The sequence below is a fragment of the Homo sapiens genome, chromosome 17 (assembly GCF_000001405.40).
Source record: "Homo sapiens chromosome 17, GRCh38.p14 Primary Assembly".
Taxonomy (NCBI): domain Eukaryota; kingdom Metazoa; phylum Chordata; class Mammalia; order Primates; family Hominidae; genus Homo; species Homo sapiens.
In genome coordinates, this window is record NC_000017.11 from 50,881,932 (window position 1) to 50,900,233 (window position 18,302).

At 47.3% G+C, this 18,302-nt stretch overlaps 1 long non-coding RNA gene across 2 annotated transcripts, besides 2 other annotated features; it reads right to left on the bottom strand.

Moving 5' to 3' along the window:
- Positions 2,746 to 3,274: an enhancer, noted in NCBI's record as "H3K27ac-H3K4me1 hESC enhancer chr17:48962038-48962566 (GRCh37/hg19 assembly coordinates)". NCBI's record gives its function as "activates a minimal SCP1, AML or CMV promoter by ChIP-STARR-seq in primed H9 embryonic stem cells {active_cell/tissue: H9 hESC(primed)}" and the evidence as "EXISTENCE:reporter gene assay evidence [ECO:0000049][PMID:30033119]".
- Positions 3,275 to 3,803: an enhancer, noted in NCBI's record as "H3K27ac-H3K4me1 hESC enhancer chr17:48962567-48963095 (GRCh37/hg19 assembly coordinates)". NCBI's record gives its function as "activates a minimal SCP1, AML or CMV promoter by ChIP-STARR-seq in primed H9 embryonic stem cells {active_cell/tissue: H9 hESC(primed)}" and the evidence as "EXISTENCE:reporter gene assay evidence [ECO:0000049][PMID:30033119]".
- Positions 4,873 to 12,140, bottom strand: LOC105371825 (uncharacterized). 2 transcript variants are annotated; one of them, XR_001752940.2, is made up of 3 exons: positions 11,977 to 12,140; positions 10,970 to 11,620; positions 4,873 to 6,648 (listed from the first exon to the last, which is right to left on the bottom strand). It is a non-coding gene; the product is annotated as an uncharacterized LOC105371825 (long non-coding RNA). The 2 variants fall into 2 exon arrangements; XR_007065847.1 differs by lacking the exon at positions 11,977 to 12,140 and having other exon boundaries at positions 10,970 to 11,622.
- Positions 12,141 to 18,302: the final 6,162 nt, after the last annotated feature.

Sequence of the window (18,302 nt, forward strand, 5' to 3'; positions counted from 1 at the left end):
GGTGGTGGGTGCCTGTAGTCCCAGCTACTCGAGAGGATGAGGCGGGAGAATGGCGTGAACCCAGGAATGGGAGCTTGCAGTGAGCTGAGATCGCACCACTGCACTCCAGCCTGGGCGACAGACCGAGACTCTGTCTCAAAAAAAAAAAAAAAAAGAAAAAGAAAGAAAGTAGAAAACATGTTTTGGTGCATAGGAGAAAGTAGTTACATTTAGCGAGGTGTAGCTCTGCGGGTGAGTGAAGGGACACTTCACTTTTGACTCCTCTCTTCATATGTTGCTTGGATTTTCCACAGTGGTCAGTTACCTTTGCAATTAAAAAGAAATGTTTTTTGTTTTGTTTTTTGTTTTTGAGACAAGGTCTCACTCTGTCACCCAGGCTGGAGTGCAGTGGCATGATCATGGCTCACTGCAGCCTCAGTCTCCTGGACTCAAGTGATCCTCCTGCCTCAGCCTCGTGAGTAACTGGGACTAGAGGTAAGTCTAGTCCTCCATGCCTGGCTAATTTTTTTTTTTTCTATATTGCTCAGGCTGGTTTGAACTCTTGGGCTCGAGCAATCCTCCCATCTTGGTCTCCCAAAGTGCTGAGATTATAGGTGTGAGCCACCATACCTGGCCTAAAATAAAATATTAAATACATTTTAACATTTATTATATTTATATATTATACATACTTTTTGTACAATTTGAATATATACATATATCATCTTTATATTTGGGGCTCACTTCTTTGTTTATGTAGTGTTTGTTTCCAAAAGCTTCCTTTATTATCTCTCACAAAAATGAGAACAGAATGCACACACCACACCTATCTGCCCTACATTCCAAAAGCATTAATTTATCACATTGGAAGAGATCTGTTTTTTTTTTTTCACTAGACCTCTTCTGTGAACAGAGATCTGATTTTTGTGCATTCTGAAATACCTATTTATTATAAGAACTCTGTAAATGGTTGGCTAAAATGGCTTTAATTCAATCCTAACATACTCCCTAATAGAGAGTTAGCCCTTTTGTCCTGTTTCCCTGCGTCTGGATTCCCATTCCATAAGCATCGCTCACAGGACTACTCTACTGGGTGCAGGAGAATAGGAGGCTGAGTAAGCCCCAGGCTAGTGGGACAGACACTTCCCAAGCCAGAAACCCAGGAGTCTTCTGAGACACCCCCTTTTGCTCACTCTGTCCCTAATTTCAAGCTGCCACTGGACCCATCCGCCTGACCTCCTACCTATTGATCTTGTCCGTTCGCCACCCTGCAGGCCATGAGCACCTCCTCCCTGGACCACCACGCCAGCCGCCTACTGGTTTCCCTGCCTTGACTCCTGCCTTCATTGCTAACACCTTCTCCACCCCACAAACAAGGGATGGATCTTTTAAAAATGCAAATCAAGCCTAGGCAACGTAGCAGGATCCTGTCTCTACAAAAAAAAAAAAAAAAAAAAAAAAAAAAAAAAATATATATATATATATATATATATATATATATATATATATATATATATATATAAATAAATTAGCCAGCTGTGGTGGCGTGCACCTGTAGTTCCAGGTAATTGGAAGGCTGAGGCAGGAGGACCACTTAAGCCCAGGGGTTTGAGGCTTCAGTGAGCTATGATCGCACCACTGCACTCCAGCTTGGGAGACAGAGGAAGACTCTGTATTAGAAAAAAAAAAAAAATGCAGTCCAGGCGCGGTGGCTCATGCCTGTAATCCCAGCACTTTGGGAGGCTGAGGTGGGCGGATCACTTGAGGTTAGGAGTTTGAGGCCAGCCTGGCCAACATGGTGAAACCCTGTCTCTACTGAAAATACAAAAATTAGCCAGGTATGGTGGTGCACGCCTGTAGTCCCAGCTACTCAGGAGGCTGATGCACGAGAATTGCTTGAACCCGGGAGGCAGATGTTGCAGTGAGCCAAGATGGTGCCACTGCACTCCAGCCTGGGCAATAGAGCGAGACTCCTTCTCAAAAAAAAAAAAAAATGCAAATCAGTCATGTTCCCGTCACCCTGCACCCACTGGGGTAAACCTATCAGTGTCTCCCATGACTTTTAGGGTGAGGACCAAAGCCCTCACTGCAGTCTACAGACCCTCGAGGATCTGCTGCCTGCCTGCCTACCCAGCAGAAGGCCAGAGCTTGCCCAACCTTCCTCCACCCTCTCTTACTTCCTCAAATACACCAGGTTCCCTCCCACTTCAGGGCCTTCTGCTAGTCCTGCCTGCAGCCTCTCACTTACTCCTCTCACCTCATTCATCCCTAGTGAGCTTAGCATTTGGCTTTTATTTCCCTTCTTCAGGGGAAGCTGCCCCAGTCCTATTACAGCAAACCCTCAGCTTTTTGCTCCCATAGTTCCTATGCAGCTATTTATTCAGTAGCTGTCTCCACCGCTGAGCAATGCAGTCGAAAGGGATAGGATCTGTGTCTACTTTGTTCCTTGCAGTATCCTGGGACCCCAGCACAGAGCCTGGTTCATACAGGACTTAATGAATGAGTGAGTGAATGAATGAATGAGTGATCCTGCTGTATTACCAGACAGATCGTGGTAGGGGCAACAGTTGCTGTGAGGTTTTGGGAAGCTGTCTTTGCCTGGGAGGTGGGGAAGGCAGGGCAGAGCCTAAAGAAGCCTTGAAGGGAGAGTGTTGCTTCATGGGCAGGGAAAGGAAAATGACATTCCAGACTCAGCCCCTACACAAGTGTGAGGCAGACTCCCATGGTTGTCAGGTCAGAGTAGGGAGAGGCAGAGATAAGGCTGCGATTGTGGGTGAGCTCAGCCTGGGAGGAGCTCTGCATACCAAAATAAGGACTGAACCTTGTGTAGGTAGTGGGGGAACCTGGGAAAGTGTGTTAGGCAATCTTTCCCCACCCCCTTCCTCTTTCCACCTCTCCCCTGCTTTCCTTCCTCCTGGAGATAGGGAGCAAGGTCTCCAGGGGCCAGGCAGGTGCTTCTGGTTGGAAAGGCCGTGACCAGGACTTGTTGGGTCCATTTGACTCAACGGACCCCTTTCTTGGCCCTGTCCCCAGATGTATAGGGCAGAGCTAGAGTTGTAGAAAAGGGAGACACACTCCTCAGGGCCACCACACTCACCCAGCAGGGGTCTGGGAGCCCCTGAAGCACCCGGGACCCCAGCCTCAAAGGTGGATGCTGGAGGGAGGATTTGAGGGAGCAGGCACCCATCAGTGAGAATGACGAGTTGACGGCACAGCTGACAAGTGTCTGGGGGTGTGCCACCTCCCTGCGCTGCTTCTGAGCTGTTTGCTTTGCCTTGGTACACTTGAGGGGTTGGAAGTCCTCAGCCTTCAGAGCTCCAGGTTTGAGGCACAGACAGGTTCCATTTTGCCCAAAGCCAGGCAAAGGCTCCTCTCTCTGAGCAGAGGTTGCTGGGTCACAGGAGCTCAGGGTGGCACTGCACTCAGGATTCGCAGCTGCCTTGACGTCACCAGTGTCCCAGGTGAAGGCACAAACTCCTGGCCTGAGGTGAGGCTGAGGGAGACAAGAGCCCACCAGACTAGGCCAGCACTTCCCATGGGCTTAGACCCCTGCTCTCCTGCCTCCTCTGATATTTCAAATCTTTCAGAATTTCAAAACCATAGGACCTATTGACTTCTAAGCTCCCCACCCTGCTCTTTGGGCTTAAATTGTGCTTTATCTCAACAGCATTCATTGAGTGCCAGCTCTGTGCAAAGCCCTGTGCTAATGTGCTAGGCTCTAGAGTCATAAAGATGAAAATTTTTCTTTTTTTAAAATAGAGAATAGTCAGTCTCACTTTGTTGCCCAGGCTGGTCTCGAACTCCTGGCTTCAACTGATCCTCCCATATTGGCCTCCCAAATACTGGGATTATAGGTGTGAGGCACCTTGCCCAGCCAATGAATACTTTATGATATGATCCCTGTTTTCAAGAGACTTACAGTCTAGTTAGGGAAATGGACACAAACAGACCCTTTCAGAACAATGTAAAGACCTCAGAAGAGGTCAAATTCTATTGGAATCCATCTGCTTTTTTTTTTTTTTTTTTTTTTTTTTTTGAGATGGAGTCCCACTCTGTTACCCAGGCTGAAGTGCAGTGGCACCATCTCGGCTCACTTTAACCTCCACCTCTGGGTTCAAGTGATTCTCCTGCCTCAGCCTCCCCAGTAGCTGGGACTACAGGCGCGTGCCACCATGCCCAGCTAATTTTTGTATTTTTAGTAAAGAAAGGGTTTCACCATGTTGGCCAGGCTGGTCTCAAACTCCTGACCGTAAGTGATCTACCCGCCTCGGCCTCCCAAAGTGCTGGGATTACAGGTGTGACTTTTTACTATCTGTAGGTAACTGCTATATATAATGCATGATCTATAATGCCCGACCCAACATTTTGTCATCTTTGCAATACTTGATTTTATTTTTTTTCCTGTAATATTTTGGGGTTTGAGATTATTTCGTTTGGTTTGGCTACAAGGAAGCCTAGATGTGCTTCAGAGTCGCCTTGAAATTTCTTCTGCATTATCAACCAGCTCAATCTCCTCTGAATTAGACCTGCCTTCTCATCTGGGAAAGGCAGATCTTTAACAGGTGGCTGGAAGCTATTGAAGGAAGAAGCCAAGATGTGGTTTCTGAAGAGCAGGCAGGAGGGTCCCTGGCCATAAATATGTCCTTGATAAGGGCCTGAAATCCCATTCTTAGAATTTTATTTTTTTGAAGTTGCACGAGCACCTGGGAAGAATACCACCTTAAATCCTGACCACTTATCCACTCCGGGAAGATTTGTTTATAGCCAAGAGTTCCCACGATGGGCCGAGGAAGAGCAGGGGGGCAGCCAGCTTTCCAGGCAGGCCCTAACATATTATCCAGATTTTGAGGTTGTTTTAGTTATGTGTTTGTAACAAACCACCACAAAACATAATGGCTTAAAACAATGATTTATTGTTTCTCACAATGCTGTGCGTTGGCTAGTTCGACAGTTCTATTGGTCTCACCTGGGGTCACTCAGATGGCTACAGTCATTGTAGATTAACTGAACTTCATCAATGTGCAGTGGTCTCAAGGTTATGAGAAGGTGATCACAGAAGCAGGAAGACCCGTGATCGGGTGTGGTGGCTCACGCCTGTAATCTCAGCACTTTGGGAGGCCGAGGTGGGTGGATCACTTGAGGTCAGGAGTTTTCCACTTTCTTGTGCCCTTCTGCTTAAACAACCTTTGTGCTTCAGCAAAGTAAGCACAAGTCCAATAAAATGTAGCTTGAAAACAAGTATCAACAAATTAATGAAAACAACACACAAAGGGCAGCCTTGTCTTGCCATGGGAGGAGAAGATGCTTGTTTTTAAGGAAAGGTCTTGTCATTTAGGATGAATATGAAAGGAGGGTCAGGGAGAAGAGCACCTGCAGACCAAGACAAATGGAGAATTGAAGGGAAAAAACCCTGTAAAACAAAAAGTGCTGGTGATGCTGACTCCTGCCTCAGCTCAGAGCTGTGTTAAGGGCTGAATGGGACAAGCTGGAGCCCCAATGGGGAGATTTCTTTTTCAGGCCAGGCTGACCCATAGGGGCCATCACCCAATCACTTGGAAGTGAAACCAGTTTAGCCCAGCCTTCGTACTTTTCTTGAAGCAGTCTGTATTTTCTGCGTTACTTCTAGCTCCCTGGGTGTGTGTGACCTCTTCCTTGTCACACTGAAACCTCTTTGAGGGAGGTGTGGGGGAGGGGGGAGCGGAGCTTGCAGTGAGCCGAGATCGTGCCACTGCACTCCAGCCTGGGTGACAGAGTGAGACTGTGTCTCAAAATAATAATAATAAATAAAAAAAAAAATTCAAAGCAACAAATATATTGCAAATGAGCTTTACTAGTTTTTTTGGGGAGGGGTGAACATGGAGAGTTGGGAGGAGGAAGGAAATAAAAAAATGAAAAGATGATCTGAATATATCCCTGCCTTAGAGAGCTTCCAGGTAAGTCCAAGAGACTGACTTCAACACAGACCTGGGCTAATTGCCCATTTCGCTCCTTGCCCTGGGGCCTATTGTTTTCCACAAATTGCGTCCCCACTTGAGACTCAGTCTTCTCTCCCTCATCGCCATGCAGTCATTTCAGCCCAGTTGCAGAACAGGAGAACATGAATGGAAAAAGGATTGAGTCCACACTGTGGTGGCTGCAAGAGGTGATTCAAGATCTAACATTCTGAGTAGTTTCCAGACAGTTGAGGACAGCCCAGGCTGGGGTCCAGAGGTGGGGATCAGGCAGGAGGAGCAGGAGCAGCCAGAAGGCAGGATCAGCCAAAGCCCTTGAAGAATGCCAAAGGGCAAACTGCAGAAAGCGAGTTCAGGTGTCAGATCCCAAAGGCGAGAGGAGGGCTGTAAGTGGGAGATGACCCAGGGGGCCCTGGAATGGAGTGGGAGCAGGTTGGGCCAGAAGTGGGAAAGCTATCACCCTCACTAGTGACTGGGAGAATTCCCAGAAGGACAGCAAAGGTGCCCACTGTGATGGCGTGGATGGGCTAGGTCAGCACAGGTGCTCAGGCCAGGACAGATACTTCGTCCCTGGCCACCCAGCCTTGGCCATGGTCCTCACAACCAAGCCCCACAAGGTAGCCCCAAGCCTGGGCAGAGGAGCCCTGGGCATGAATGCATCCTAAACTCTACCCATCAGCGCTGATCCATGACAAAGTTTTTGTCCATCAGCTACAAACTGGAAACAACAACAACAACAAAACATAAGTGAGCTTTTAATAACGTTAATTTTTGTTTCTAGTTTAAATTCTGATATGATGGCTGTTTTACTTTTGGTGATAAGATGGCTTTTCTTTTATGAAGACATGGTGATGGGAGGTGATAGGGCTTTTTTTGGTTGTTTGAATTGCCTCACTAGGTCGGGAGCAGTGAGTGGCTCATGCCTGTAATCCTAGTATTTTTGGGAAGCCAAGGTGGATAGATCACCTGAGGTCAGGAGTTCGAGACCAGCCTGGCCAACATACTGATACCCCATCTCTACTAAAACACAAAAATTAGCCAGGCATGGTGGCACGTACCTGTAATCCCACCTACTTGGGAGGCTAAGGCAGGAGAATCGCTTGAACCTGGGAGGTAAAGGTTGCAGTGAGCTGAGATTGTGCCATTGTACTCCAGCCTGGGTGACAGAGATGGTGTCTCCAAGAAAAAAAGGAATTGCCTCACTTGGCTAAATTTAAAGTTGACAATATTGGTTCCCAGATTTGAGGAAATTTTTTTCTCTTTTTTTCTTTTTGAGACGGAGTCTCACTCTGTCACCCAGGCTGGAGTGCAGTAGCACAATCTCAGTTCACTGCAACTTCTGCCTCCCAGGTTCAAGCAATTCTCCTACCTCAGCCTCCTGAGTAGCTGGGATTACATGTGTGCGCCACCACACCTGGCTAATTTTTGTATTTTTAGTAGAGACAGCGTTTCTCCATGTTGGTCAGGCTGGTTTCAAAATCCTGACCTCAAGTGATCTGCCTGCCTCGGCCTCCCAAAGTGCTGGGATTAAAGGCGTGAGCCACCGCATCCTGCCCAAAAAATTTTGATAAAGCATCAAATCCCAGTCTGGTCACCTCTGCTCTAAGAAACTAAGAAATCCTGTCCCTGAAACCCAGATCCTGGCTGCCAAAATAACACCATCATCCTTGCCATCAGCCACCACAAGGGCACTTACAGGGCATGCACTTTGAGCCAAGCTCAATCTAAGCCTTTGCATGTGCTAATGAACTCCTTCCCTGTTTTGACCTCTTGCCCACTTACTGTCTGCCAGATTTCTGGATTTGGCCCTCCCAGCTCTGAGCTCTGACAGATCCCACTGAATACCAGTTCCAATGGCTCCCTTGCTACAGGTTTCTGCAGGTCGTATCATGAGATTAGTTGCTATCTTAAATGGAAGCTCATGAAAGTGCTTCTCCGCTAAGGTAGAAGGAAACTCCATTTCGAACTCTCTCTGTCACTGCTGCTAAATGTCCCTTTTCCCAATGCTGCTGGGAATCTGACCCATGGACTTCTACAAACCTTCAGCAAATATGTGTTCCCTGGACTCTGGCTGCCTACCTGGAGGCTGACTTTGCCTGGAACTTTGCAGGCACCTCTCCTTCAGAGCTCTCATACCTACTAACACCCAATTACATCCTTCATTCTTTCCTAGCTTTATCCAAATGACAGTCAAGCTGCCTGGGGCTAAGGGGGATGATCTCTGAGTCCTGCATATAGATGGTGTATGAGATTTAAAGAAGGTGTGATTTTAAAAAAAGTGTGATTTGAGGGACGCTATTTATTTTATTTTACATAAAAAAGAAGAACCAGGATGCTGAAAATGATGCTATTGATTATAAATAGGAAGAAAACGCTAGTCGGTTGAAATAGCCAGTATGGTCTTGGTCATTCATAAGGAAAGAATGGCCCCTGTCCTGGGAGCTGGCTTTAGAAGAACCCACTGTGGCAGAACTGGTCAAATCCTCCACCACCTAGTACCTATAGGCTTTCAATTTCCTGCCAATAAGGCACCAAGGTCTGCCTGAGACTTGACATCTAAAAAACTCCTAATTGGCCAGGTGCGGTGGCTCATGCCTGTAATCCCAACACTTTGGGAGGCTGAGGCAGGCAGATCACTTGAGGCCAGAAGTTCAAAACCAGCCTGGCCAACATGGAGAAACCCATCTCTACTAAAAATACAAAAATTATCCAGGCATGGTGGCTGGCGCCCATAATCCCAGCTACTCAGGTGGCTGAGGCTCAAGAATCCCTCGAACCCGGGAGGCGGAGGTTGCAGTGAGCCGAGATTGAGCCACTGTACTCCAGCCTAGGCGACAGAGTGAGACTCCGTCTCAATAAATAAATAAATACATCAATAGCCCACGATTAAGCCAGGCATGCTGGCCCATGCCTGTTGTCCCAGCTACTCAGGAGACTGAGGCAGGGTAATCCCTCGCGCCCAGGAGTTCAAGGCTGCAGTGCACAATGATTATGCCTGTAAACAGCCCCGGCACTCCAGCCTGTGCAAATAGCAAGACCTCATCTCTAAAAAAATAAGATAAAAGCCAAAATGCCCACTATCTGACTCACCAAAAGGTGTGTATTTAAGGCGTTGTCTGCAGTGCCTGGCTGAACCTACTGAAGCCTGAGGAAAAAGGAAAAATCAATAATACAGGTTCTGTCTTCATTGAAAAGTTTGATATTTTGCGTCTCATGGATTTTTTGCACTAATTTGGATGTTGAAAATATTGCATTAAAATATTATTTATCTAGAGTATTGGGTGTTTTAGGCACTCCCTTAAATTTTGTGCCTAAGGTGAGTGCCTCACTCTCCTGGTCATAGTCCTGGCGCAGTGATGTCTACAAAGACTAATAAGATTTACCTGTTACCAAGCTCCTACTCTAATAAACATACTTAGCTCATTAGATTAGCTAGTTGATACCAGCCCGATCAGCTCACATAATTGCTTCCCTGGCCCTTGTTTATCCAGAAAGTAGAGTCCTGCCTCAAATTTCCTAGCCAGTGGTCATGTCTGTACTCTTTGCTGCCAAACCCTTTCCAGACCCTCATACTGACTGCCTGGTTGGGCCCCTACCGACACTGTCGACCCTCTGAACATTGTGCACAACCCTAGGAAGGAGCACTAGGTGCTGCCTAACTCTGGATCCCCGACACTAACTCCCTGGCCCAACTGGACTCTTTCTCATTTATCTGTGTCTGAGTCTCCTGGGCCTCATTCCACCCTCCCAGAAGTTCTTCCTTTACTGCTTGCCTCCTGGTCAGGTCTTCCCTGAAAAAATACCCCACCTGTGTGTGAATCTTTCTGGTTTCTGGGTCTCGTGCCTCCCCTAAGCAATGCAAACCTTGAGTCAAGTACTACGCTCTTGCCCCAGGCCTGGCATTGTTACGTTAATAACCATTGAGAGCATACCATGTGCCACTGACCCATGCTTTCCTTGTGTTAACCCACATGCACCTCATCGTAACCTTATGAGTAGATACTATTGTCATCTCCATTTTACAAATGAGCAAACCAAAGCCCAGAGAGGCAAAGTTATTTGCCCAAGGTCACACAGCTAAGAAGTGGCAGAAATGGGCTACAAACACAGTTTCTAGAGCCCAACTCTTAACTATCATGTTACCTAGCTTCTGCTTACAGTCTAAGAAGCCCTGCGTGGAAAGTTTGGAATCAGATGAGTCTCAAATTCAAATCCCAGATGTTCAGTTTATGAGCTTCATGGCTGTGGGGTGTCACTTTAGTTCTCCTGGTCTCAGCTCCCTCATCTTGCATGGCTTTGTAAGAAGTGACATTAGGCCCTCAGTACACAGTAGACACAACCATCACCCCCAACCTTTCCTGCAGGATAACCCTAGCAACCACAAACATGCTGTGAGCAGGGCCTAAGGCACTTAATTCCACACTCTGGAAATGTCAGTAACCGTTGAAAAGAATAAAGCCAGTTCTATTTGTAAAGCATTTTACTGCCGATGGAGGAGGTGAAGTGCATGTTGCGTTTGAAGGTTTGCAGCATGAACTCTAGAGGTCAGCTACCGAAGCTGAAGCCTGGATTCCACAATCGTGTGTGACTTTGGGCAAGTTTCTTTCTCTTTTTTCTTCCTTTTTTTTTTTTTTTTTTTTTTTTTCGGAGACGGAGTCTTGCTCTGTCTCCCAGGCTGGAGTGCAGTGGCACAATCATGGCTCACTGCAGCCTTGACCTCCCAGATTCAAGAGATCCTCCTACCTCAGCCTCCCAAGTAGGTGGGACTATAGGCGTGCACAATCACACCTGGCTAAGTTTTTTTTTTTTTTTTTTCCAGCGATAGGGGTCTTGCTATGTTGCCAGGGTTGGTCTTAAACTCCTGGGCTCAAGTGATCTCCCCAGCTCGGCTTCCCAAAGTGCTGGGATTACAGGCATGAGCCAACGTGCCTGGCCTGGGCAAGTTTCTTAAATTCCCTATAGCTTAGTTATCTCATCTTTAACCGAGGGACAATAATAATAACAATAATAATAATAATAATAATAATCATAGCACCTACCTTGCATAGGGTTGTTGCTGATTATAGAGTTAATACACATGTAACACCCTTAGAATAGTGCCCTGAACACACCGTGAGCTCTTCAAAGTGTAAACCGATTGGTCTCTAAGATAAGGGGAACTGGTATGTCACCACCATTTTGCAGTCCAGGAAACAAAGACACTGAGGGGTTGAAGGATTTGCTCAATAGCCCTCAGCTTTTGCAGAGTGGACCCCAAATTGAAATTCAGAACCTCTGGTTAGAGGGTTGCTGGCTCCTCCATTTCATCCAGGAGTTTCTTATTTCCATTTCTGACATGACTGCGATTGGCTCTGATTCCCAAGCCACGGGTTTCCAACCTTATTAATGCGCTCCTGCAAAAGCCAGGCTCCTCCTCACAGGCTCTGCTGCTGTTCGGAGCAGGCCCGGGCTGCTGTGTACCTCACAGCTCCCCGACAGAGTGCTGCACAATGACGACCTTCGGTGGGGCAGACATTCGCCTCCATCAGGCGCCTAATTATGCAAACCCTGAACATGAGACTGAAGAGGAGACTGGCCTGCCCAGGGACGATTGATGAGGCTGGCTGGTTTCATCTTCCCCATTGTGTAGGCCAGAGGCTTCATGATGGGAGCGGCTCAGCTGCGGGATCTCGGTTGCTTTGTTGCAGGCGCTGGGGCAACGAAGGGTGAACTGGGTTAATAAAATGTGCTGGTGACTCACTCCTAGGAAAGAACCTGTGATGGATCATTAAGCTGTCTCGGAACTTATTTCAGGCCCACACCCGCAAGATGAACGCTCTCAATTTGTTTATTAGGTCTCCAACAATAGGCCACTGTTCTCCTTCCCCACAACTCAGTTACACAATCTTTCCCCTCGTGTCTTTCAGCCACCTACTGAAAATCTGTCTGTGTGCCGAGCACGCGCTCCCCATCCCTCTACCAAATGCCTGGCTGGCGCGTCATCCCTGGCTTTGATGGGTACGTTCACTTCCCTAGCGCTGGCTTCCCCTAAGATGGGGGGACTTACCCTCCTGCCTGAGCCCTCATGCTGGCAGATTTGGTTCTTTCCATCTCCCTCTCCGCTGAAGTCTTCTCACCCTCACTGACTCCATGCTGGATCTAGACCTCTGAATGGTCCATCCTAGTGCCTGTCCTGGCTCTCCCAATTCCCCTTTAATCCAAAGGTCTTGGGTTGATCCTTTTTAAAAAGAAATTATTTTATTCTTTAAAACTATATATAAATAATTCATGTTTTTTTTTTTTTTTTTTTTTTTTTTTTTTGTTTTTTGAGACGGAGTCTCGCTCTGTCGCCCAGGCTGGAGTGCAGTGGCGGGATCTCGGCTCACTGCAAGCTCCGCCTCCCGGGTTCACGCCATTCTCCTGCCTCAGCCTCCCGAGTAGCTGGGACTACAGGCGCCCGCCACTACGCCCGGCTAATTTTTTGTATTTTTAGTAGAGACGGGGTTTCACCGTTTTAGCCGGGATGGTCTCGATCTCCTGACCTCGTGATCCGCCCGCCTCGGCCTCCCAAAGTGCTGGGATTACAGGCGTGAGCCACCGCGCCCGGCCATAATTCATGTTTACTATGGAAAAAAGAAATCACTTATAATCTTGCCACTCAGAAATAATCTCTGTTAACATTTTTGTGGTGGGGCATGGTGGCTCATGCCTGTAATCCCAGAATTTTGGGAGGCCAAGGTGGGAGGATTGCTTGAGCCCAGGACTTCAAGACCAGCCTGGGCAACAAAATGAGACTCCATCTCTTCAAAAAATAAAATAAAAAATAAGCCAGGCATGGTGGTGTGCGCCTGTGGTCCCAGCTACTCAGGAGGCTGAGGTGGGAGGATTGCTTGAGCCTAGGAGGTCAAGGCTGCAGTGAGCTGTAATCGCGCCACTGCATTCCAGCCTAGGTAACAGAGCAAGACCTGGTTTCAAACAACAACAACAACAAAAGCACGTTTTTAGGGTATAATCTCTTGGACCTCCCCTCATTCCAGAATTTACCTCTGTGCCCATCTTTGCTGGGACACTTCTGATAGGTGCCCCCGTGGTGTACTGGAAGTATGCAAATGCCACTTCAACTAGTTTTTTTCTTCTAAAGTCAGTAAGATAGGTACCCGGCAAATGTCACTTCTTAGTGAGCATCTACTGCAGGATAAGATGTATTTGCCAGCTTGCATGTGGATCTAGATTGTGGAATCACCTTCCTTGTGGCCTCTGCACATCTACAAATGAGAATGTCTTGCCTGCATTTTTGGAATAGCCTCCTTCTAGTTACGTGGCCTCCAGAGTGAGCAGAACAAGACGCTAACACATCGGATCACTCCTCCGATTGCAACCTTCCGTGGCTTTGCGTCCTGATTTGGGACAGACTCGGGCCACCCGCCTCCTGTGTCTCTTCAGGACGCGAGGCTTGTTTGCCTTTCCAGTTTCTTCGCTTGCCTCCTTACTGGGGGTGTTCATGCTGTAGCCTCATCAGACAATTTGCTCTTCCTAGAATGGGATGACTCTTTGCACCTAAGGATCGTTGTACGGGCTGCTCCAGCTGCCTGGAGTCAGTTTTCCTTCCCCGTTTCTTGTCTGACTAGTATTCCTACTCTTCCTTCAAGGCTTAGTCCAAATATCATCTCCCCTAACTACCCTGCCCCATCTTGTCTACTGTCACTTATGCGCGTCTCCTCTGTGGAGACGTAACAGGCCACTGCTAGACTTTGACTCATTAAAAATCTGTCATCTGTCTCCCTCACCACACTATGAGCTACCTGAGGGCAGATATTGTATTTTTTCTTTATTTAGACAGGGTCTCGCTCTGTCACCCGGGCTGGAGTGCAGTGGCACAATCACGGCTCACTGCAGCCTCAACCTCCTGGGCTCAAGTGATCCTCCTACCTCAGCCTCCCAAGTAGCTGGGATTACAGTCACACAGCACCGCGCCCAGATAATTTTTTTATTTTTTGTAGAGACAGGATTTCGTCATGTTGCCCAGGCTGGCCTAAAACTCATGGGCTCAAGCGATCCACCCATCTTGGCCTCCCAAAGTGCTGCGATTATAGGCGTGAGCCACCATCCCTAGCTAATTTTTGCATTTTTTGTAGAGACAGGGTCTCACCATCTTGCCCAGGCTGGTCTTGAATTCCTGGGCTCAAGCAATTTACCTGCCTCGGCCTCTCAAAGTGCTAGGATTACAGGCGTGAGCCACCACTAGGGATTGTATTTTTTAACACTTTTTTTTCTTCAGCCAGTCACAAAAAATCTGGCCCACAATGCATATTGAGTTCAAGAGGATTTCTTTTTAACTGACTAGAATAAAGGAATAAAAACTATACCTATAGCTGCTCAATGTTATTGTTGCTTCAGAGGTAAGCATTTTTATTAGATCCAGGTACAGAATAAATTTCAAAATTGACTCGGACAACAAGTTTGTACACACCTATGATCTTAATGCTTTACATTATGTAAATTACCTCATGTGAATTACTTAATTTAATCCCATCTCAACCTCACAACAGCCGCATGAGATGAGAGTAATTTTAAGTTATAGATTAGCCAGACTCAGGGATATATCAGGATCTTACAAATAGCAAATAATAGGACCAGAATTTGAACCAAAATCAAAATTATGATCATTTTCTAAACCAAAATGATTAGGATTCAATTGTCTTTAAAGTTTTCTGGGGCCAGGCACAGTGGCTCACCCTGGGAGGCCGAGGCCGGTGGATCCCTTGAGCTCAGGAGTTCGAGATCAGCCTGAGCAGCATAGAGAGAGCCCCGCCTCTACAAAAATATACAAAAATTGGCCGTGTGTGGTGGCACAGACCTGTATTCTCAGCTACTTGGGGGACTGAGGTGGGAGGATCACTTGAGTTGGGGAGGCTGCAGTGAGCTGAGACTGAGCCACTGCCCTCCAGCCTGGGTGACAGAGTGAGACTCTGTCTCAAAAATAAATAGGTAAATAAATAAATAAATAAATAAAGATTTTTGGATGCAGAAATTTGTTTCCAAAAGCAATATCCCTAAACCTGGCCCCTTAGTCGCCTGGTTCCTCATAATTTAGCAGCTGAATAATCACGGGTTCACATCCTTCTCAAAGGGTACTGGGTGTGGTGGCACATTCCTATAATCGCAGCTACTCAGGAGGCTGAGACGGGATGATTGCTTGAGCCCAGGAGTTCGTGCCCAGCTGGGCAACACAGTAAGACCCTGTCTCTTAAAAAAACGTAACTAGGGGACTTATGACCAAATCTTTTCCCTTCCTTCATCTCAACTATGATAAACTTTCTCCAGTCATCTTTCCTCAACTGAACATTTTCTGCATAACTTGGAAAAGTGGTAGATTGTTACCCACAAACAAAGGACTGCTCATCCAGGTAGTATATGGGGTGCACTGATGTCTTGAAGATCTTAACAGAAGGACTCTGATACTGGATGTTCTTTATGTGTAGAAAAGTGCCTTGTTCTACTTAAAGTTCTCATTCACTCAAAAACATTTACAGAGGAGTTAATAATCACAGATAATAACAGTAGCTAACGTTTATTGAGGGCTTAGTATGTGAGAGGCACTGCTCTACCTGCCTTATGAATAGTAACTCATTTAATCCTCAACAACCCTCAGGCAGGAACTATTGTTAAGACAGTCTATAGATGAGCAAACTGAGACAGAGAAGGCAAGTAACTTGCCCAAGGCCACGGAGCCTATGGTATATTGCCTGTCCCTCCATGCACAGGGCTCTCAGCCAGCTTAGGGTAGATGACACAGGCCCCGCCCTCATGGAGCCTAATTGCTCATGTGAGAGAGACATGGAACAAGGAACTTCGGTACTTGGTGCTGGGGACACATACAAGGTGATAAGAGGTATAAGAAAGAAATGTTGGGCCGGGTGTGGTGGCTCACACCTGTAATCCCAGCACTTTGGGAGGCTGAGGAGGGCAGATTTCTTGAGGTCATGAGTTCGAGACCAGCCTGGCCAACATGGTGAAACCCCATCTCTAATAAAAATACAAAAAATTAGCTGGGTATGGTAGCACACACCTGTAGTCCTAGCTACTCAGGAGGCTGAGGCAGGAGAATCGCTTGAACCTGGGAGGCAGAGGTTGCAGTGAGCCGAGATTGCACCACTGCACTCCAGCCTGGGTGACAGAGTGAGACTCCATCTCAAAAAAAAAAAAAAAAAAAAGTTGGACTGCTGGACTGCTAGCTGATGACTTCAGAGGATCAGAGGGGGTGACATTTTAGCTGGATCCTAAAGGATAAGTAGGAGTTCAGTAGGCTGACAAGGGTGGGGTTTGTTGCACAGAGTAACCTTTGCGAAGAGGATAAAACATGTAAAATGTGGAGGTGGAAGAAGAGTAACTTACTTGAAGAACAGTGAGAATTTCTGAGTGATTGGCTCCCAGGGTCCACAGGGGAAGCAGCAGGAAGAAGCCTGGAAAAGCAGGTTGGGCCAAATCATGGAGGGGCTAAAGGAACTGTACATTAGTTGGTGAGAAAGGAAGACTTACTGGAGATATTTAAACAGAGGAGCAGCATGATTACATTTGTGTTATACTTATGAGCAATGGGGAAGATGGACAGGTAGGTGAGAGTTTAAAAAGGAAACCAGAAAATCAATCAAAAGGCAGTTGGAGGCTCACACCTGTAATCCCAACACCTGGGAAGGCCAAGGCAGGAGGATCGCTGGGGTCCAGGAATTTGAGACCAGACTGGGCAACATAGTGAGACCCCATCTCTAAAAAAAAAAAGTTAACCTGGTATGGTGGTGCATGCCTGTGGTCCCAGCTACTCAGGAGGCTGAGATGGGAGGATCGCTTACGCCTGGGAGGTCGAGGTTACAGTGAGCCATGATCACACCAGTGAATTCCAGCCTGGGTGACAGAGCAAGAGCCTATCTCAAAAATAAATAAATAAATAAATAAATAAATAAATAAATAAATAAAAGACAGTTAGAATTAGCTAAGAAACACATAGTCCCCCAAGGAAGGAATTGGTGGGCAAAGTATTTTAAGAAGCAGAATCAATAAAACTCAGTGACCCTAAAGCTTCTCACCTGGGCCTGTGTGAATGGGGAGGACATTAACCTTGGCAGGGAATAAAGGAGGAAGGGCTCATTTGTTCATCTATTTGTTCAACAGACACTTTGTCAGAGCACAGGAACCTGCCTCAGGTACTGGGGCTACAGCGGCGATTCAGACACAGGCCTGCTCTCACAGAGCTCATAGCCTCATGGGCAAGGCAGACAAGTAAACACACTGATTACAAGGCAAAGTAGTGTGTGGGCCGCCCCCTGAGTCAGAGTCTGATGGTGACATCTTGACATCTCACCCTCGCTGGCATGGCCAGCCCTAGAGGCAGCACTGGTTCCTCTGGTCACTCTGCCACCCCCTCACTGAAGAGGTCCACTCTGGCTTCCCCAGGGCACAGGGGAAGAGCCTGATGTGGACATTTGGTGACGGCAGAACTGGAGCCAGGGCACAGCTTCTATGAAGGCAGGGCAGAAACTGGGCCTCCCAGTGGGTGAGCCACGTCAGTGCCCATCTGGGAAATCCAAGAGCCAAATGCTGGTAGAACTGGATAGAAACCCCTAATCAAGGCTGTGGGGGGAACAGAGCCAAGAGTTTATTTTTAATTTATTTTTATTTTTTTAGAGACAGGGTCTCACCCTGTTGCCCAGGTTTAAGCACAGTGGTACAATCGCAGCTCACTGCAGCCTCAAATTCCCAGGCTCAAGCGATCTTCCCACCTCAGCCTCCTAAGTAGCTGGGACTACAGGTGTGCACCACCACACTCAGCTAGTTTTTAAATTTTTTTGTAGAGACAGAGTCTCCCTACGTTGCCCAGGCTGGTCTTGAATTCCTGGGCTCAAGCGATCCTCCCAGCTCCGCCTCCCAGAGTGCTGGGATCAGAGGCATGAGCCACCGTGCTCAACCAAGAACCAAGAGTTTAAAGCTGGGCAGATATGAGACAAGAACAAGCCAGAATATCCAGGGATGATTATCCTAAACCCCAGGGAACTCGCTGTTTTCTCTGATGGCTGGTATGCGCATGGTACTCGGGTTATAGGGGCTGGCAAAGAGGGTCAGAAGTAGCCCTCTAACCAGTGCACTGGTTTCTACATGCTGCAGAGAAGTGGCCCAGTCATCACATCCTTTTCCATCCTCCCAGATAACCCGCATCAGTTCATCTGGGTGTGCTGTGGATTGCAAGGCATGAAGATTGACTATCTGTAATTGTTTCTGCAGGAGGCAAGCTGCAGGAGACGGAGGGAGGTAGAGCGAGGGGCCAAGTACACAGAGAGCAGGGCCTGTGAGGAGAGGATTGTCCCCCACTCTCCCTCTCCAGTTTCCTCTCTTTAGAAA